Raw genomic sequence first — 18,744 nt, forward strand, 5'->3', positions numbered from 1 at the left:
GGGAAAACTGGCTAGCCATATGTAGAAAGCAGAAACTGGATCCCTTCCTTACATCTTGGATTAAAGACTTAAATATAAGACATAAAACCATAAAAACCCTGGAAGAAAACCTAGGCAATACCATTCAGGACATAGGCATGGGCAAAGACTTCATGACTAAAACACAAAAAGCAATGGCAACAAAAGCCAAAATAGACAAATGGGATCTAATTAAACTAAAGAGCTTCTGCACAGCAAAATAAACTATCATCAGAGTGAACAGGCAACCTACAGAATGGGAGAATCTACCCATCTGACAAAGGGCTAATATCCAGAATCTACAAAGAACTTAAACAAATTTACAAGAAAAAAACAACCCCATCAAAAAGTGGGCAAAGGATATGAACAGACACTTCTCAAAAGAAGACATTTATGCAGCCAACAGACAGATGAAAAAATGCTCATCATCACTGCTCATCAGAGAAATGTGAATCAAAACCACAGTGAGATACCATCTCATGCCATTTAGAATGGCGATAATTAAAAAGTCAGGAAACAACAGATGCTGGAGAGGATGTGGAGAAATAGGAATGCTTTTACACTGTTGGTGGGAGTGTAAATTAGTTCAACCATTGTGGAAGACAGGGTGGCAATTCCTCAGGGATCTAGAACTAGAAATACTATTTGACCCAGCGATCCCATTACTGGGTATATACCCAAAGGATTATAAATCATGCTACTATAAAGACACATGCACACGTATGTTTATTGCAGCACTATTCACAATAGCAAAGACTTGGAACCAACCCAAATGTCCATCAATGATAGACTGGATTAAGAAAATGTGGCCCATATACACCATGAAATACTATGCAGCCATAAAAAGGATGAGTTCATGTCCTTTGCAGAGACATGGATGAAGCTGGAAACCAACACAGGAACAGAAAACCCAATACTACATGTTCTCACTCATAAGTAGGAGTTGAACAATGAGAACACATGGATGCAGGGTGGGGAACATCACACACTGGGGCCTGTTGAGGGGTGGGAGGCTGGGGGAGGGATAGCATTAGGAGAAATACCTAATGTAAATGAGTGCAGCAAACCAGCATGGCACATGTATACCTCTGTAACAAACCTGCAGGTTGTGCACACGTACCCTAGAACTTAAAGTAGAATAATAATAAAAAAAGAATACTTATTGATTTAAATTTCTTTTCTATTTCTTTATTTGCCAACATTGAAATAGCACTCTCCTCCACCATTTTTATGGTCAATGTATTTCTTTATTTCAGTTTATATAGCCTTTGTGGACAACCTAACTACCATTTTATGTTATTACTCTTAGATTAAAATATGTTCCATTCAATTATAAATGTTTGCAATGCATTTGTAATGTACTTGTAAATTGAGACTTTATATGCAAAAATACAAATTTGCAGGCATTTTCAGAAGACCCTTCCAAACTTTAAAGGTGTCCCTCAGTAGCCATGAAGCACAGCTCCTTTTAGAGAGTTGCACAGCACTGAGCTGTCTGTTACAGAGAGCAGTCACATGCTAAGGAAATGCAGGGCTCATGGCATAGAGAGAATTTTCCATTTCTATTAAAATTAAGTGATTTTATTCATGGTCTGATTTCTTTTAGGTTTTTGCAATCTCCAGGAACGCCAGGCCACATGATTGAAACAGTTGTTCAATTTTTCTTGCTGAAGATGGTGAACTGGGTTAAGTTTAGAAACAACCATAGCTGGAAAAAGTATGACTTTGTTAGCTGCTTACTTCCTTTTCAGAGAAAAAATACTTTTCTAGTTTCTTTCTTTAGTTACAAAAATAATATGTGCTAATTATAACAAGCCAATCAATGGAGAGGCCTGCGGATATGAAGTTCATAGTCATTCATTCACTCTTCTGCAGAGTGGCTCCCCAAGGCAGCCAACATTGACAAGCAGGCTTGTGTGTTTCCACACTGTCTCTTGAGCGAGGCTTATTTAGTCTACACTTGCCTCCTTTAAAGCTGTTCACAAGCAGATGAGGATCAATCTCGGATTCTAGAAGGAAGAACCCAGCCCCTACTGTTAGAAGGAGCAGTGAAGGCGGCAGGTCAAAGCACAGCCTGGAGCCGACTGTCTGTGTCCAAATCCCACTTCACCACTTGCTGCATAACTGGAGCAGATGATTCAGCTTTTCTCTGCCTTAACTGACTCATGTAAATGGGGATATTAAAATATCACATATGGATTATTATATTGACTAGGAAGTTAATGCAATACAGCATGCATAGCAGTTAGTAAGCACTCAATAAATGGTAGATATTATTATTTTCTCTCTTGTGGGAGCAACAAAAGTGAAAAGAATGACCCTTTGGTAACTGGGGATCTGAGTATACACAGACTGTACCAATCATAACCACAATCACCAAAAAAACTACATTTGTGGAGGCTTAGTGTTAACACAGTCCCAAAACACTTCATCTATTGATTCCCTTATATGGCTAGAATTTAACATTAATTCTTTTTTCATTTTTCAGGAATAATAAAGAACATCAATAAAATTATAGGCATAATTTTTAAACAATTTTATTGAAGAATAATTATATGTAATAAAATTCACTGGCCGGGTGCAGTGGCTCATGCCTGTAATCTCACCACTTTGGGAGGCCAAGGCGGGGGGATTACTTGAGGCCAAAGTTTAAGACCAGCTTGGGCAAAAAAGCAAAAGCCTGTCTTTACTCTCTCTCTCTCTCTCTCTCTCCATATATATATATATATATATATATATATATATATATATATATATATTTTTTTTTTTTTTTTTTTTTTTTTTTTTTAAATAGCCAGGTGTAGTGGTGTGCGCCTCAAGTCCCAGCTACTTTCAAGGGGCTGAGGTAAGAGGATTGCTTGAGCCCAGTAGTTGCAGGCTGCAATGAGCTATGATCCCACCACTGTACTCCAGCCTGGGTGACAGAGTGAGACCTTGTCTCTAAAAATAAATAAATAAGTAAATACAAATTTTTAAAAATAAAAATTCATCCATTTTAAGAATACAATTAAATAAGTTTTAGTAAATTTACCAAGCTGTGCAACCATCACCACAACCCAGTTTCAGAACATTTACATCACCCTTGGAAGCTCCCTCATGCCTGTTTACAGTTAACCCCAGTTCCTATCCCCAGCTCTGGGCACCATTAATCTACTACTCTCTGTCTCTATGACTTTGCTTTTTCTGGACACTTCATATAAATGGATTATGCAGTATGTGGCCTTTTGTATCTGACTTATTTCGTTAACATAATGTTTTAAAGATCCATCTACACTGAAGTACGTATCAGTATGTGTTCCTTTGTACTGAGGAACTGTATTCCACTGTATGGATATACCACAGTTTGTTCATCCATTCGACAATGGATGGACAGTTGGTTGTGTCCACTTTTTAGCTATTATGAATAATGTCACTATGAACATTTGTGTACAAGTTTTTGGGTGGACTTACGTTTTTATTTCTCTTGGGTAGATACATAGAAGTGAATATAGTACATTTATATTTAACTTTTTGAAACTATTAAACTGTTTTCTACAGTGATCGCACCATTTTATATTCCCACCAGCAATGTGTGAAGGTTCTACAGGTCTAAACTTAAAGGTCAAAATAGAAAGAAGATCTAAAAATACATGAATTCAAGTGCTGAATGTCCGTTCTCTGACACTGGTTATCTTCTAAACTCCCCTTTAATGAAAGGACAGGGAGAATCCTTCCCCTGCCTTCCCCAGATTCTCATTTCCCATATTTTGCTGTTTGGCTAAGTGGGGGCTCCCTCACCTCATTTAGTCCTGCTAATTCAGGGAAAGCAACCCTGTGCTCCTCCACTCCTAGCAACCCTAAGAGGCTATCTAAAGTGGAAAGAACATTTTACAAATGCAAATTCAGTCCTTGGGTATGGCAAGAGAAGAGTTAATGCAGTTTGTAATAATTATTGACTACAAGAACTGCAAATGATTGCATAAAATTTCTAAAATATGCCTGCAAGGTTCTCTTATTGATGTGTTGCCCCCAGGGGTACACATATGGGTTTAAGTGTCTAAACTGTTTTATTAATTAAATTGCTATGATTTACCTCTCCCATGTTAGCATTTACAGTTTATGAAACAGCCCTGTAATTAGAAAATGATGTACTAGTGTTGCTTGTTTACTTTGTGGGTGAAATATTATACACACACAGATGTGTATGTGTATATATATACACTCACTTATATATGTTTATAGACACACACATGTGCACGCGCGCACACACACACACAAAGTGTTTTTTCTTGGGTCAACCCTCATAGGCTACTTTATTTCTAGTCCAATTAATAGGCAACCTCCAGTGGTGCATTAAATTGGTTTTTAGCGGGAGGGGGAGGATAACTGAGAAGTTCATTGTTCCTGCTGAGGTGTGTCATGGCATCCATGTATGTTTGTTTATTTTCCCTCCATAGACAGACAATTGAAATCACAAGAATTTATTGTAAAAAAAAAAATCTGTTGAGAACAGCCCTGAGGATACTTCAGCAAATCCTAAAACTGTACCTACTTTAATTATACAGCATCTTATTATCTTCTGCGTCCATTCTGAAGGTATATGTAGGAATATATAATATAAATTACCTGTGCTACATAGACAATGCCTAAATAAAGTTGTTGTTGAAGTGCTTTTTGTTTGCCTTTATTTTATACCTATTTATTTGTCCCATCTACAGACCATATTCTGGTGCTGAATCTGATGTTTACATATTTTTATCAGTTTTCTTAACTGTGGTTAATATGTGACTTTTATGTATATCAGATTATGCCAAGTCTGGTTCAAGCATATCAAATGATGATTATTGTTAGGTTGGGAGAACTTTAGGGGTTATATACTCACACTTTCCATATTTCTGTAACATTTCTGGGTTCTGTATGGATTGATCATAATTGACATTTCAAATCTCTTTTATATGGAGGTGATGTATAATTTTAAAAGTCTATCTTTCAGAGATACTAGGGGTAAAAGAAAATGATCTTTAAAATACCTTAACATATAGGGGGAAACGTTTCTATGCATATAAAATATCAATTTGGTTAGTAATCTAATGATGCACAAATTTATATAAAAGGGTTGCTCTGCTCCCCTGGCTGTGATGAATTCTGATTGCAGAGGCTAGAACAAATTTGGGGGGAAGAAAAGAGCAAAAGAGAAGTAGGTAATACAGAGCTTAGCACAGGACTATATGCTTAAGGTGCTTTACACATTTTTACTTCTCCACTTAAATGTTTATCGAGAACTAAACTATGATGGTATTTAGTAGTATACTGTACACTAAAGTGAATGTGAAGACTTTCAAGACGCTAATTTCAAGAAGCTCACAGTCAGGTAAAAGGAATGCTCTGTTCACAAGCATGCAGAAAGGTTGCATGCTAAGAAGACAATAGGGTTTCAGTAGGTAGAGGAAGGTCTTCTGGTTGGAGTGGTCAGAAAAGTCTTCTTGGAAAAGATAGTATTATCTTTTTGGCACTGGGGAGAATTTTAATAGATGGGGGCTTTCAAGGATAGGTAATTCCAGCAAGGGAAATGGTATGGGTAAAGGGGCAGAGGTTAGAAAATCTATGGTGTATGAAGATCATACACAGAAGTAAAATAAAGCAATCTCCTCTATTGGCATTTCTGACTTCATATTAAAAGAAAGTCGTGGACGATACCACTAGATTAGCCATTCATCTTGCAATTGCATGATGTGGGTAATTAAGGTGAAAGAAGTACAAATGCCTCACAGCAACTAGTCAACAATGCTGGCAAATATGTGTAGAGTGAATCAATGAATGAGTGAGCGGTCGAACAGCAAACATGCACAATGGAGGAACAAACAGCAACAAAAGGATAGATGAAGCCAAGTGTGGCAAGAGCTTGATAATGACTGAATCTGAGTTCTGGCTGGATTAGGGCTCATGATACAATTTTTTTTTCACTTTTATAGGCTTGACATTTTCATAATAAATTTTTTTCAGTTGTTTACAATTTCCATTTCTACTCCCACAGAAATGGTCCTCCTCAAGGTTCTAATGATCCCCGGTTATGAAATCCCGATGAAAACTTGCGTTCATCTTACATGACCGCCAAGCAGCCTTTGACACATTTGACCGCTTCCACTTTTTTGAAATATTACCCCCTGATTTTGCTGACACCGCATCTCTCCCTGTTTCTCCATTGCCTGCCCTAGCTCAGTTCTGCTGCCACCACCTCATCCTATCTGACCTCTAAATACGGAGTTCTTGAGTTCCACTCTTGGTCCCACGATCTTCTCACTCCACCTTCTCTTCATCAGTGACACATTGAGTTCAGTTATCACATGCACTCTGGTGACTCCTCATATATTTTCAGCCTAGACTTCTCCAATGAGTTCCACACTCACATATCAAACTCTAATCCATGTCTCTAGTCAACACCTCCTGTATTAGTCAGATTTCTCTAGAGGGTCAGAACTAATCAGATATATGTATATATGAAAGGGAGCTTATTAAGGACAATTGACTTACATGATAACAAGATAAAGGCCCATGATAGGCTGTCTGCAAGCTGAGGAGCAAGGAAGCCAGTGGTGGATCAGTCCGAGTTTTAAAACCTCAAAAGTAGGGAAGCCAACAGTGCAGCCTTTAGTCTGTGGCCAAAGGCCCGAGAGCCCCTGGCAAGTCCAAGAGTCCAAAAGCTGAAAAACTTGGGGTCTGATGTTTGAGGGCAGGAAGCATCCAGCACGAGAGAAAGACGAAGGCTGGAAGACTCAGCTACTCTGCCCTTCCATCTTCTCTTGCCTGCTGCCTGCTTTATTCTAGCTACACTGGGAGTTGATTAGATGGTGCCCACCCAGATTGAGAGTGGGTCTGTGTCTCCCAGTTCGCTGACTCAAATGTTAATTTCATTTGTCAACACTCTCACAGACATACCCAGGAACAATATTTTGCATCCTTCAATCCAATCAAGTCGACATTCAAAATTAACCATCACACTTCCACTTACAGACTGTTAGAATTCACTGTGTTCAGAATGGAGCTCGTGATCTTTTCCCCCAGTCTGTTCCTTTTCAGCATTACTACCTTGGTGAATGCCACCACTATCTACTCAGCTGCTCATTCCAGAACTCAAGGTGTCATTCTCTGCACTCTTCATCTCCCCTCAGCCTGTCCATCACCAAGTTTTGTCAATTTCACTTCCAAAATAGTTTTCAAGCCTGTTCACTTCTGTGAACCTCCTCACTTAGAGTAATGAGAAAGCCCTACTGCATCTCCATAAGTTGTAGGAACGCCCACCCGCCTCTCCATCCTCTGCTTGGAAACCAGAAAGATCTTGTAGAAACCTAAAGATTAAATACTCTTCTACTTAAAGCCGTTCCCCTTCCCCACAATGTCCAAAGTTTTTCCTATGGCCCAGAAGACCCCGTGTGACCTACGTGCATCATCTCACACCACTGTCCCCTTGTTCACTTGTTTAGAAGCAGCTGCCCTTCTAACTCCTCCTCCTTTGGGTTTCAGCATAAATGGTCCTTCATCAGCCTTATCAGACCTGCAAAAAAGATAAAGTCTCCCTGTGTTGCACTTTCATTGTCAACTGTAGTTTTCCCTCATAACATTATACACAAATGCAATTATTTATGTAATTATGAGTTTGTTTCCAGCCTCCTGCATTAGACAGAGGCTCCAGGATTTAATACATTTTCCCTTGCCTGACATGTAGTATCTACTCAATTAACAATCTCCCTCATAAAGAGAGAGACTGTATCTGTCTGTCAGAACATGGCACATAGTAAGTGTTCAATAAACGGTTAAACTTATTGAATGTTGTTGGTGTTCAAATTAAACACTGGAAACTGAATCAATGTTAACCTTCATTCTCTTAATAATGCCTCCTAGAAAAAGCAAGTGGAACAGTAATGAGCTGCTAGGTATTTACTTTGGTAATTTGCCTCCTTTCCCCTTCCCTCTAAAATGTGTAACATTCTCCTTGCCTCCCCTGCTGATGTGCTTCATCAGAAGTGAGCTGGAGGGATTTGGAGAGTTTCAGAGTCTTTTGTTTTCCTGAGTAAAGGCTATACACTAGGAGCCAGGTGTGAAATCTTCTGACATTGAATTTAAAGTGTGTAACAGAAAGTTTGAGAGTCATTTCAGAGTAAATAACTTTCTATCCTCCCTAGCTCATGTAAGAGCACATAATTATTTACTCCTTCTAATTTCCCCAGTTAAGGCATCTCTAGCTTAGTGGAGACGGAGTTGCTGAATATTTTTAAGTGACCAGCACGTAGACCGAATTCCAGTTTCACAGCCCTCAGCCTCAAGATGTCAGGTGAGTCAGATGTCAGATTCCCAGTCCTGGTTTTGGAAACTCAAAGCAAGATGAAAGTTTACTCACTTAATTTTCAAAATGGAAAAAATATGGAAAAACTGTGTTTTCAGTAAGTTGGATGAGTACAGATTGCTGAAAAATGGAAGGTGCAACTCCTTACACATGGCCAGCACCACCCTGAACCACAGCTGTTCAGCAGTCCTAACTCCCCCAGGTGTGGTGGGTATAGATGCTGTACTTTGAGAACCTGTTTCAACCATGGCAGAAGTTCTCCAAATAGCAAAGGCCTACCGCTTTTCAGGGAATCCCACACACACTGTGGGGAAGTGGCCTATGGGGGAAGGTTCAATAAATACATCTTACATTAAACTGCAATTAGGCACTTTTGGCTTTTCTGTTCTATTAAGAAAGTCATGCACTTGAGGGAAATAAACCCACAAGATCTCTTTGCTGGTAGAACTTAAAAATATTTTTTCTTCCTGGTTCTATTTGCAGACTGTGCTAGTGGGTTAGTTAATCAAACACAATTGCCTTCCGTCTCTGGGATTTAGGATTAACATATGCAACCTATTTCTCCAAGAGACACTGCATGCGGAGTTCTTGGCTCTTGGTCCTCACCGTAGACATTAATCATGTGAGTGTCCTCTATTAAAATGAGTAGGTCAGGATAGTAATGGGGAAACTCAGGCAGCTGCTCTTTCTGTGGTACCTGAGAGGGCCTGCACAGGTGACAGGAATTCCCTACTGCCCTTGTTGTGTGCCCGGATTGCATACAGGACCAGCTGAGCACACCAGCCAGAATCCCGGACAAATCTGGTGTAAAAGCTCTCGCTTCTCTTTCTTTATCAGGAGTTGGAAAAAAGCAAACTGGTTTTCTTAAAATTAGTTAGAATATTTAAATACATTCTACCTTTGTGATTTCTGCCTCTCCAATTTGAAATTTCTCTGAAACTTCACCATGGACTTCCTCACTTTCAAATTTGATGGTGTCTCCTCTGTCTTCATTTTCATTTGCTTTGCTCTGGTGCTTGATTCTGCTGATGGTCAAATTTCTTAGCTATCTGGCTATAGACTGAATGTTTGTATCTGTCCAAAATTCATATTTTCAGCGCTTCCTTGCCCCTTCTTCCATATGAGGACACAGCAAGAGGGCAGAGCGCTTCCTTGCCCCTTCTTCCATATGAGGACACAGCACTTCCTTGCCCCTTCTTCCGTATGAGGACACAGCAAGAAGGCACCATCTACAACAAGGAAGAGAACCCTCACCAGACACTGAATCTGCTGCACCCTGATCCTGGGTCATCCAGCCTCCAGAATTGTGGAAACTTGTTTAAGCCACCCAGACTGGTATTTTTGTTACAGCAGCCAGGATGGGCTAAGACCTCACTCTTCCTTCTTGGTTTCCCCAAAGTTCTGTGAACCTGGTCTTGTTTCTGCCTCCCCTTTGGCTTCTCAGCCTCATTTCTCTTTGCTATCAGTTCTTCCTGCCCCATGACTTTTGTATGTTTCTCTAAGCTCTGTTCTAGTGGGGCAGGTATCCATCCTCCCTCTGCACAGAGATGTATCACTAATACCTTAGTTCGTAATGTGTTCTCAGCCTGAAAAGCCTCCCCTACGTACTGTGTAACCAAATCCTATCCACTTGTCAAATTGTTCTAGAAATAGTTATTGTACATTGTGTGCCTCCAATGTATCAGGCACCATGATAGGGCTTTAGAAATATGACATTAATTAATCTTCAAATCAAGTTTGAAAAAGAGGTATTATTATCCCCATTTTATAGGGAGCTCTGGGAATCTGTGAAATGGGGACAAGAGAAGTTATTCCCTGGGGACTCAGAGGAGTTTAGCAACTTCCCCCAAATCCCACAGCAGTGGTGGAGCTGAGATACAAACTCAGGAGCTGACAGATAAAGTTTGCTTTGCCTTTCAGCAAAGTCTACACTCTACATACTACAGGCATTGCAGCCAAGTGGCCAAGCTATGTCCTTTTGTGGACAGACAGATCAGGGTTTGAGAACTAACTCAACCATTCATGACCCGTCCAATGTTCAGGTGTTCTAGTTATAAAGTAGGGGAGGGAGAATGATAATGCCTGCCTCATGGGCTGTAGTTCTAAAGGAGCTTGGTATAAACGGTAGGCACATGGTTCCCAATCTAATTAGTTGCTGTTGTTATTATTGTTGTTATGATGCGTTGCTCCAGCTCCTGAGCCAGACGCCCTACTCAAGGCCGAACAAGTCACATTGCTTCCATGTTGGTTCCAACTCTGTTATTCCCCCTCTAGGAACTTTTGTTGAACTTACAGTATCTACCACGTGACTTAATCATTCTCTTATTTTGTTCTCAAATTCTCCAGCAGTTGTGTATTCAGTCTCCCCGGTGGGTTTCATATTAAATTTTCTTCTGGAAATGATAGGCATCATCTAAAGGCATCATTTTATGCTTGCAAGTTTCAGTTGTACCTCTGAGTGACTTCAAATATATTCCTGTTATCTGTCCACAAGGCAGGATCTACTGGCTTAGTTTCATCCCTTCCACTCCCCCTAATGCATTACTGTAGTTATTTCAGTTTGCCAAAAAAAGCTAATTTTCTCACATTTCTCTCCCTCCCTTCCTTCCTCTCTTTTGGGCATCAGTAGTACTTATGAAGAACCTGCTAGGTACCGAGCACTGGGAATTCAACAGTGAGCAAAGCTCATGGGGCTCACGGTCTAGTGGGGAATTGAGACAGCATTGAATCTATTATAGAATCATGGATTGAGTAGAAAAATATGGGTATCGTGAAAGTGCAAGGAAGGCTCCTCATTGTAACTGAAGAATCAAAGGTAGCTTCATGGTGGAAATGAGGTCTATGCTGAGACCAGAAGGATAAGTAGGAGCTAGGGAGGCTGGGGTAGGGATGGGGCAGGAAGTGGGGATGTAAATGTTCCAGGCAGAGAGAAGCACTTACACAATGCTTGTAAACAATAGAGAGCCTGTAAAGTCAAGGAGCCAAACAAAGTTTAGTAGGGCTGGTTGACAGTGTCACGGCTGGTGGGGAAGCTCAGACGTGGTCATCCAGGCCCTATGGCCTATGTGAAAGTGTGAGGACTTGACACAATACCATCAAAAACATTTTTCCCCTCTCCAAGATGGAAAATGACTTGGAGGTGGAAGTAGTCAAGAATAGATTCAGGGAGACTCATTATGAGTAGCTTCAGTAGCCTAGATGAAAGTTAGTGGTGGCCTTTAGAATTAGGAAAATGGATGAGCTTGAAAATACCTAGATAGTAGAATTTATAGAAGTTGATGATAGATTTGGTGTTGGAGGAGAGAGAGAAGAGTAGAATTAAGGAAGACTCCAGGCTTATGGCTTGGGAAACCGGGTGGATATTGGTTCCCTCCAGTGGGGAAGGTAGATAGGAGGGGAAATTGGTTTGGGGGAAAAAACTGTGTGCTCAATTTTGGTTAAGTTAATCTTAAAATGCCTATGGGACATCCAAATGAAGATGTCCAATGGGCAGTGAAATATGCAGGTGAGGCTCAGGAGATAGACGTGGGCTGGGCTTGGACATGATCATGCAGTGGCGTGTGTGTGTTTGTGTGTGTGATTTCCCCGAGTTGTCCATCTGTCTTCTGGCCAATCATTTGAGCTCCAGGTGTTCTTTAAGACTGAGGTCAGGTCTCTCTCCTTTGCTGAATCATTACTTCTCTCTTCAAGTCTCCCTGTCATCTTTTCTCCAATGTCACTGTGTACAAGCCTACAGCACAGCATGGAAAAGACTGCTTTGTGATTATTCACTTGTGTCTTGCTTTGGGCTCTAATCTACAGGAAGGCAAGGATTTTGTTTTGTCCATCTTCATTTTAGGCATAATGGCTGACAGACATGCGTTTAATGAATTTTTTTTTTAATATATTGCAAGTAAAAGGCTAGCCGTGGTCAAAATGATAAAATGACAGTGTTTGATATGGGCTCCTCCCATTTTCCTCCAAGATGGCCAGTACTTCTCACCTACAAAATCAACTAGAACATCCTCCAGATTTTTTACTGCATTTCCCTGTCAAATATACCAGTCCTATCCGGAACACCAAGCAATGCCTATGCCCAGTGCTAAGACACTGTGAGGAAAACAGAAATGAATAAACACATTCTCTGTTTCAAAGAGTCTTCACACTAGTGGAATGGAGAATGAAAATAAAAATCATTGCAGGTGCGGGCAGGGTTTTGTAGCAAGATGAAAGAGGCCCCACGTATCTGGAATGGGCCCTCCCAGGTGCACTTTCTGAAGGGAACACTTTCACTCAAATACGTGATTCTTGAGGTAGAAACTTGGAGTCCTAGGGAGGAAAGGCAAGGGGCATCCTGCCCAGCTCTTCACTTCGTATCTCATTGGTGAAGCCTCACAGGGCTCTATTAATAATTGGGAACTATCCCTAGCCTTTCCAGGATTACCCTCCAGACCCCAGCTTGTCACATGGTCCCTGTACCCATGTGTTTGTAGACTTCCATTAGGAAGACTTTACTAAATATTAAAAAACAGAACAGGCTGGGCGCGGTGGCTCACGCCTGTAATCCCAGCACTTTGGGAGGCTGAGGTGGGTGGATCACCTGAGGTCAGGAGTTCAAGACCAGCCTGGCCAACATGGTGAAACTCCGTCTTGACTAAAAACACAAAAATTATCCGGGAGCAGTGGCAGGTGCCTATAATCCCAGCTACTTGGGAGGCTGAGGCAGGACAATCGCTTGAGCCTGGGAGGCAGAGGTTGCAGTGAGCCAAGATCGTACCATTGCACTCCAGCTTGGGTGACAGCAGGAGACTCTGTCCTAAAATAATAATAACAATAATAAACATTAAAAAAAATAAAAGAACATTAGAAATCCATTCCAGAAACCTACTGGAACTTCAGAGTTTTTACAGATGACATTTGAGAGAGCTTTCTTGAGTTTGTCAAATGAACAATTTCAAGAAGTCTCTACATACTCTTATCTACCATACAATGGATCAGTAGTCAAAATTATGGCCAAGATAGGTAATAAAGTAAAATGCACTGTATTGTCTACTGACAATGCGACAAGTTAAAAGTAGCTTTTAATAAAAGGTCTTACTGTTTGTGGGATCTTAAAGCACTATTTTTAGTTTGCAGCTAAGACATGAGTATTTCAGACAAACTTTGTGAATGTGTGCATAAGTTTAAGTAAGCATGAGACAGTCGTGAGTTATCCTAATAGACTGTGTCTCTTTAGAATCTTTGTTCCTTAGTTTTATGGGAAGGGTGTCTCATGTCTCCTGTATGTTCTGTATGTTCCTGTATATTCATGTCTGTGGGAGCAGAAAGCCAGAAGCTGTGACCATAGACTCTTCCAGGGAGACTGCACAGGAGCCTGTCAAGGAATGCAAAAGGACTCCTTAGAGGTGACAAGGCAGTTTGACAAAGGCAGATGGGCTTCATCACAGACTGAGGTATGTGAAAAATAGACCTCACGGCCGGGTGCGGTGGCTAGCACCTGTAATCCCAGCACTTTGGGAGGCCAAGGCGGGCAGATCACCTGAGGTCAGGAGTTCGAGACCAGCCTGGCCAACATGGCAAAACCCCATCTCTACTAAAAATACAAAGAATTAGCTGGACACCTGTAGTCCCAGCTACTCGGGAGGCTGTGGCAGGAGAATTGTTTGAACCCAGTAGGCGGAGGTTGCAGTGAGCCGAGATCATGCCACTGCACTCTAGCCTGGGTGACAGAGCAAGACTCCATCTCAATTAAAAAAAAAAAAATAGACCTCAGACCTCATGTATTCCTCCTCAGGCTGCTAGGAGGATGTAAAAAAAGCCTCTAACAAGAGTGCTTTCACTTTTGCAATTGAGAAAGGTAAATTTCCCAAGGACTGTAAAGCTACTCTTGTCTCCTATATTGATATTTTTCTCTGAAAAAATAAATGTCTTTTTGCATTATTTAAATAGCACATAATTAAATACTAAGGGCTCTCTGTTACTTGTACCCAAAGCAATGCCCGGTGAGGTATGGAGGCCCAGAGGGCTGTAGAGAAGTATCGCCTCTCAGAGCAGGAGAGAGGAAAAACAATAGACAGAGACAGACAGGGACCCAGGGCAGGAGGAAGAGAAAGGAAGTGTTTAACATTCAGAATTTGTCCACAGCCGATAATTTATTGGAACTCATCTGTAACAAGGCCTGGCACTGATTTATAAGTTGATTTGAAAAATAAATAAAAGTGATAGAAACCTGCATTTGGTTTTAATGATAGACTGTTGCAGCGTGAAAAGTAAGGATATGAAACATTGCAAGGAAATTAGATATTATGCCCTGAAGACAATTGCAGCTACCAGCCCATTAATTGTTAGATATTTATTATTAAAAATTTCTTTTCATGAGTGACTGCAGAATATTTGCGCTACTCAAGCTGTTGGGTTCTGACATGAATGAAGTGTGAGGAGCTCATTTGTTTCTGTGTGTCTGTGTGTGTGTGTGTGTGTGTGTGTGTAAAACTGACAAGCCAGCTGACCAAAATAGGTGATAGATCTCTTTACAGCAAAAACACAAACATAGAGGGGCTGCCTTTTAACTCAGAACAGAGCAAGGAGTCCTGGGGCACTTGTCATTTCTGAAGCTGTTATTAAATAATAATTTCATAAATAATAAAAATAATTTTTAACCCAGGTGTCAACCCAGGTATAGGCACAAGTTAGATCTGTCTACATTAGAACACAACTCAAAAATCCCTGGCTGACCAGGTGTGGTGGCTCACGCCTGTAATCCCAGCACTTTGAGAGGCTGAGGTGGGAGGATCACTTGAATCCAGGAGTTCGAGACCAGCCTGGCCAACGTGGTGAAATGCTGTCTCTACAAATAATAACAACACTAAATTAGACAGGAGTGGTGGCCCATGCCTGTGGGCCCAGCTCCTTGGGAGGCTGAGGCGGAAGGATTGCAGGAGCCCAGGAAGTCCAGGCTTCAGTGAGCCATGATTGTGCCATTGTACTCCAGCCTGAGTGACAGAATGAGACCCTGTCTCAAAAAAAAAAAAAAAAAAAAAAAAAAAAAGGCACTGGCAATAGCACCCCAGAGAGATCGAAATTATGAATACTAAAAGCAATTTTGTTATCTCACCAGTATTTAATGTATCGTGTTGAATTTTGGTCTGGAAAGATCCAGGATTGCCACTTGAACACTTCATGGTTTAAATTATAATACACAATGGTGCACCCAAAACAGGGGTATCCCCCCTCCAAGTTATGGCATGTCTAAACTGCTTTCTTAAAAAATAGGTAATACATTTGTTTTCTCGTTGAGGGAAAAAAGAGAGTGGGTCTTTGGTTAACTGGAAATCACTTGTTATTATAGGCTAATATTGTAAATATTTTACATTTCCTTTTTATTTTATATTTGAAACTTAATATTTGTGTTTCCTTTATTTGCCAGATATTTGTAGGATGAGGCTGTATTTGGACAGATTTTTATTTATTTAAATATACCATTTAATGGTCCAGATACATATTTTTTTTTGAAATCAGAAGGCACTTTATAGCCAATCTTAATTCATGATTCACTCTTAGGGCTATTTTCCATTAACTTTTCTACTGTGCCATTTTTCTGAAGCACACAGAAAACTGTTTTACAGTGGAGAGGACCAGCATAGTAAAGATAAAGATGGCATTATTCACATAAATAGCATATTTTAAAAACAGCTTCGGTGAGTTGCAGTGCAAGTTAATAAATTTAACTTGCCATTATTTAATATGTAATAAAATGCAGTCTAAAACTACAATCTAGGTGGTCCATGTGTCACAATGCCCAGCTTTGCCATCAAGGAATTTACAAATGCTATTCCTACATACTTTGTGCTGCTGACGGCTTTTTTTCTCTAGAGTGCTAAATTCTATGGTAAACCATCGAAGACCTGAGCAAATGCTTGAACTCAAATTTGGGCTAGACTGTGAGCTTCCTGAGGGTAGAGACTGTGTCTATATCCATCTTTGTGGCTTCTGAGGTCAGCCTGGTGCCAATCACTTTATGAATGATGGGTAGGTTAGGTTACTTCCTAAAGCCTTCATTGTTCAGGTCTTAGAAAATCAATCCACAAGCATTTGTTGCATCCCTCCTCTTCTTTTTCCACTAAGGAGTATGGTATTTCAGATATTGATGCACAGAGTTCCCCTGTTGGTTGAAAAGCAGGCTTGTATCCGGAATGGATAACATAATATCAGTGGTGCACACACATATGCACATATGAAAGCAGGCAGGCAGGAGTTTGCTGATCTCTGTTGTACCCAGCCCCACCATGGTTGATTTCAAGCTACTAATACTTGTGGCTTACTAAATTAATAAAAATTTAACTATCAGTTCTTGCCAACTGGTAAAAGGGGGCTCCAGTAGGATGTTCATAGGTTCATTTGTTTTTTTAAAAAATGTGCACTCTCAAACACATTTTTAAAGACTGTCAAGAGGAGGTCTGGACCACAGTGTTTCTCCATGGATTTGACTAACATCTGCCCACTGTCTCCCTCTCCATTCACTTGGAACTCCAAGCTGTACTCTTCACATCTTCCCTTCCTACAAATCACTCACCTGTCATTTCTTTAAGACAATGCAGAAATGCTCAACTCCAACCCTCTCCACCTTCAGTTTTCCTTATGTTGCCTTTCCCTCCTTCTCTCCCCTCCCCTGTCTTGTAGGAAGAAGTGTCTGCTTTCCAACAACCCCTCCACCACCACTGATACTCATCTTGTCCCCACTTTCCCTGAGACCTGCTCCATCATCTGTCTCACCTCTTACTTCAAGTATTCCTTTTCGTCAACAATTTCCCTATTTCCTTTCAGACTTCAAGCCAACTCAGATATTCCCACAAACAAATATTATTTATTTTGTTGTTAAAAAACTTACCTTCTCCTTCAAGCTATCATCACTTCATGCTTGTTGACTCTTCACCATTCCTTAGTTGCCTTGAAATCTGGCTCAAATCACCCAAAAAACCGACATAATCACCAAGTCAAATGGGTTTTCTCATCCTTCCTTCAAATACTTCTCACATGCTGAGCACAGCCTGGTTTTCCTTGTACCTTTTTATTTCACCTTCAGCCAAACTCCCCAAACTTTGATCTCACTCACAGCTTTGCCCTCAGATCTCCTCAGCCCACACTTCCTTGACAATCACGTCTGTGTGCATGGTTCTAAATTTTTATGTCTAGCCCCAGCAGCTCAGTCTTGTCATAACCCAGACCAGATGCCACCTCATTCCCTAACCAAGTCATCCTTTTCATATCTCCCTAACCACCTGTGCTAGAACTCTTGGAAGAAAATATTCCAGTGGTGTGCTGGTAAATACCCACCACCCCAAAGCCCTGATTTACAGTATTTGCTGCTTTCCATAGTGTAAATCAGAGGTTGGTAAACTTTTTCTGTAAAGAACTAGATAGTAAATATTCTAGGCTTTCAGGTTCCAGGCTTTCAGGCCACATGGTCTCTGTTTCAAGTACAACTCAACTGCTGTTGTTAGTGAAAGCAGCCACAGACAATGCCTAAATGCATAAGCATGGCTGTGTTCCAATGCAATGTTATCTATGGACCTGAAAGTTGAAATTCATTTAATTTTGTCATATTATATGTCCCAAAAAAATCTTCTAAATTTTTTTCAATTATTTAAGAATGTAAAGACCATTCTGACCTTGCAGCCACACAAAAGCAGGCAGGCAGGAGTTTGCTGATGTCTGTTATACCCAGCCCCACCATGGTTGATTTCAAGCCACTAATAATTGTGGCTCACTAAATTAATAAAAATTTAACTGTCAGCTCTTGCCAACTGGTAAAAGGGGGCTCCAGTAAGATGTTCATAAGTTCACTTGTTTTTTTTTTTTAAATGTGCACTCTCAAACACGTTTTTAAAGACTGTCAAGAGGAGGTCTAGACTACAGTGTTTCTCAATGGATCTGACAAACATCTGGAACAAGGGTGTTCCTGAAAAGCATTTCTCAGGAACACTGTTTGGAGGATTCTGTCTTGGTATTCTAATTGCTCAAAAGGTTCTTCTTGACCACTGCACAGATAAACCCAATTCACCAAGAGAGCGCTATTGCAGTAGAGAAAGAGTTTAATTATCACAAGGCAGCTAAACAGAAGGATGGGAGTTACTACTTAAATCTGACTCCCTGAAAATTTAGGAGACTAGGGTTTTTTCAAGGACAATTTAGCAGGCAGGGGGCTAGGGAATAGGGAATGCTGATTGGTTGGGTTAGAGATGACATCATAGGAGGTCAAAGCTGTCTTCTTACTATTTTCAGTTCCTGGGTAGGATCACAAGACCAATTGAGCCAATTTACCAAACCAGGTGGTGCCAGCTGGTCATCAGAATGCATGGTCTAAAAAATATCTCAAACACCAATCTTAAATTTTACAATAGTGATGTTATCTATAAGAGCAACTGGGG

Source organism: Homo sapiens, chromosome 6 (genome assembly GCF_000001405.40).
Source record: "Homo sapiens chromosome 6, GRCh38.p14 Primary Assembly".
In the NCBI taxonomy this organism is placed as follows: domain Eukaryota; kingdom Metazoa; phylum Chordata; class Mammalia; order Primates; family Hominidae; genus Homo; species Homo sapiens.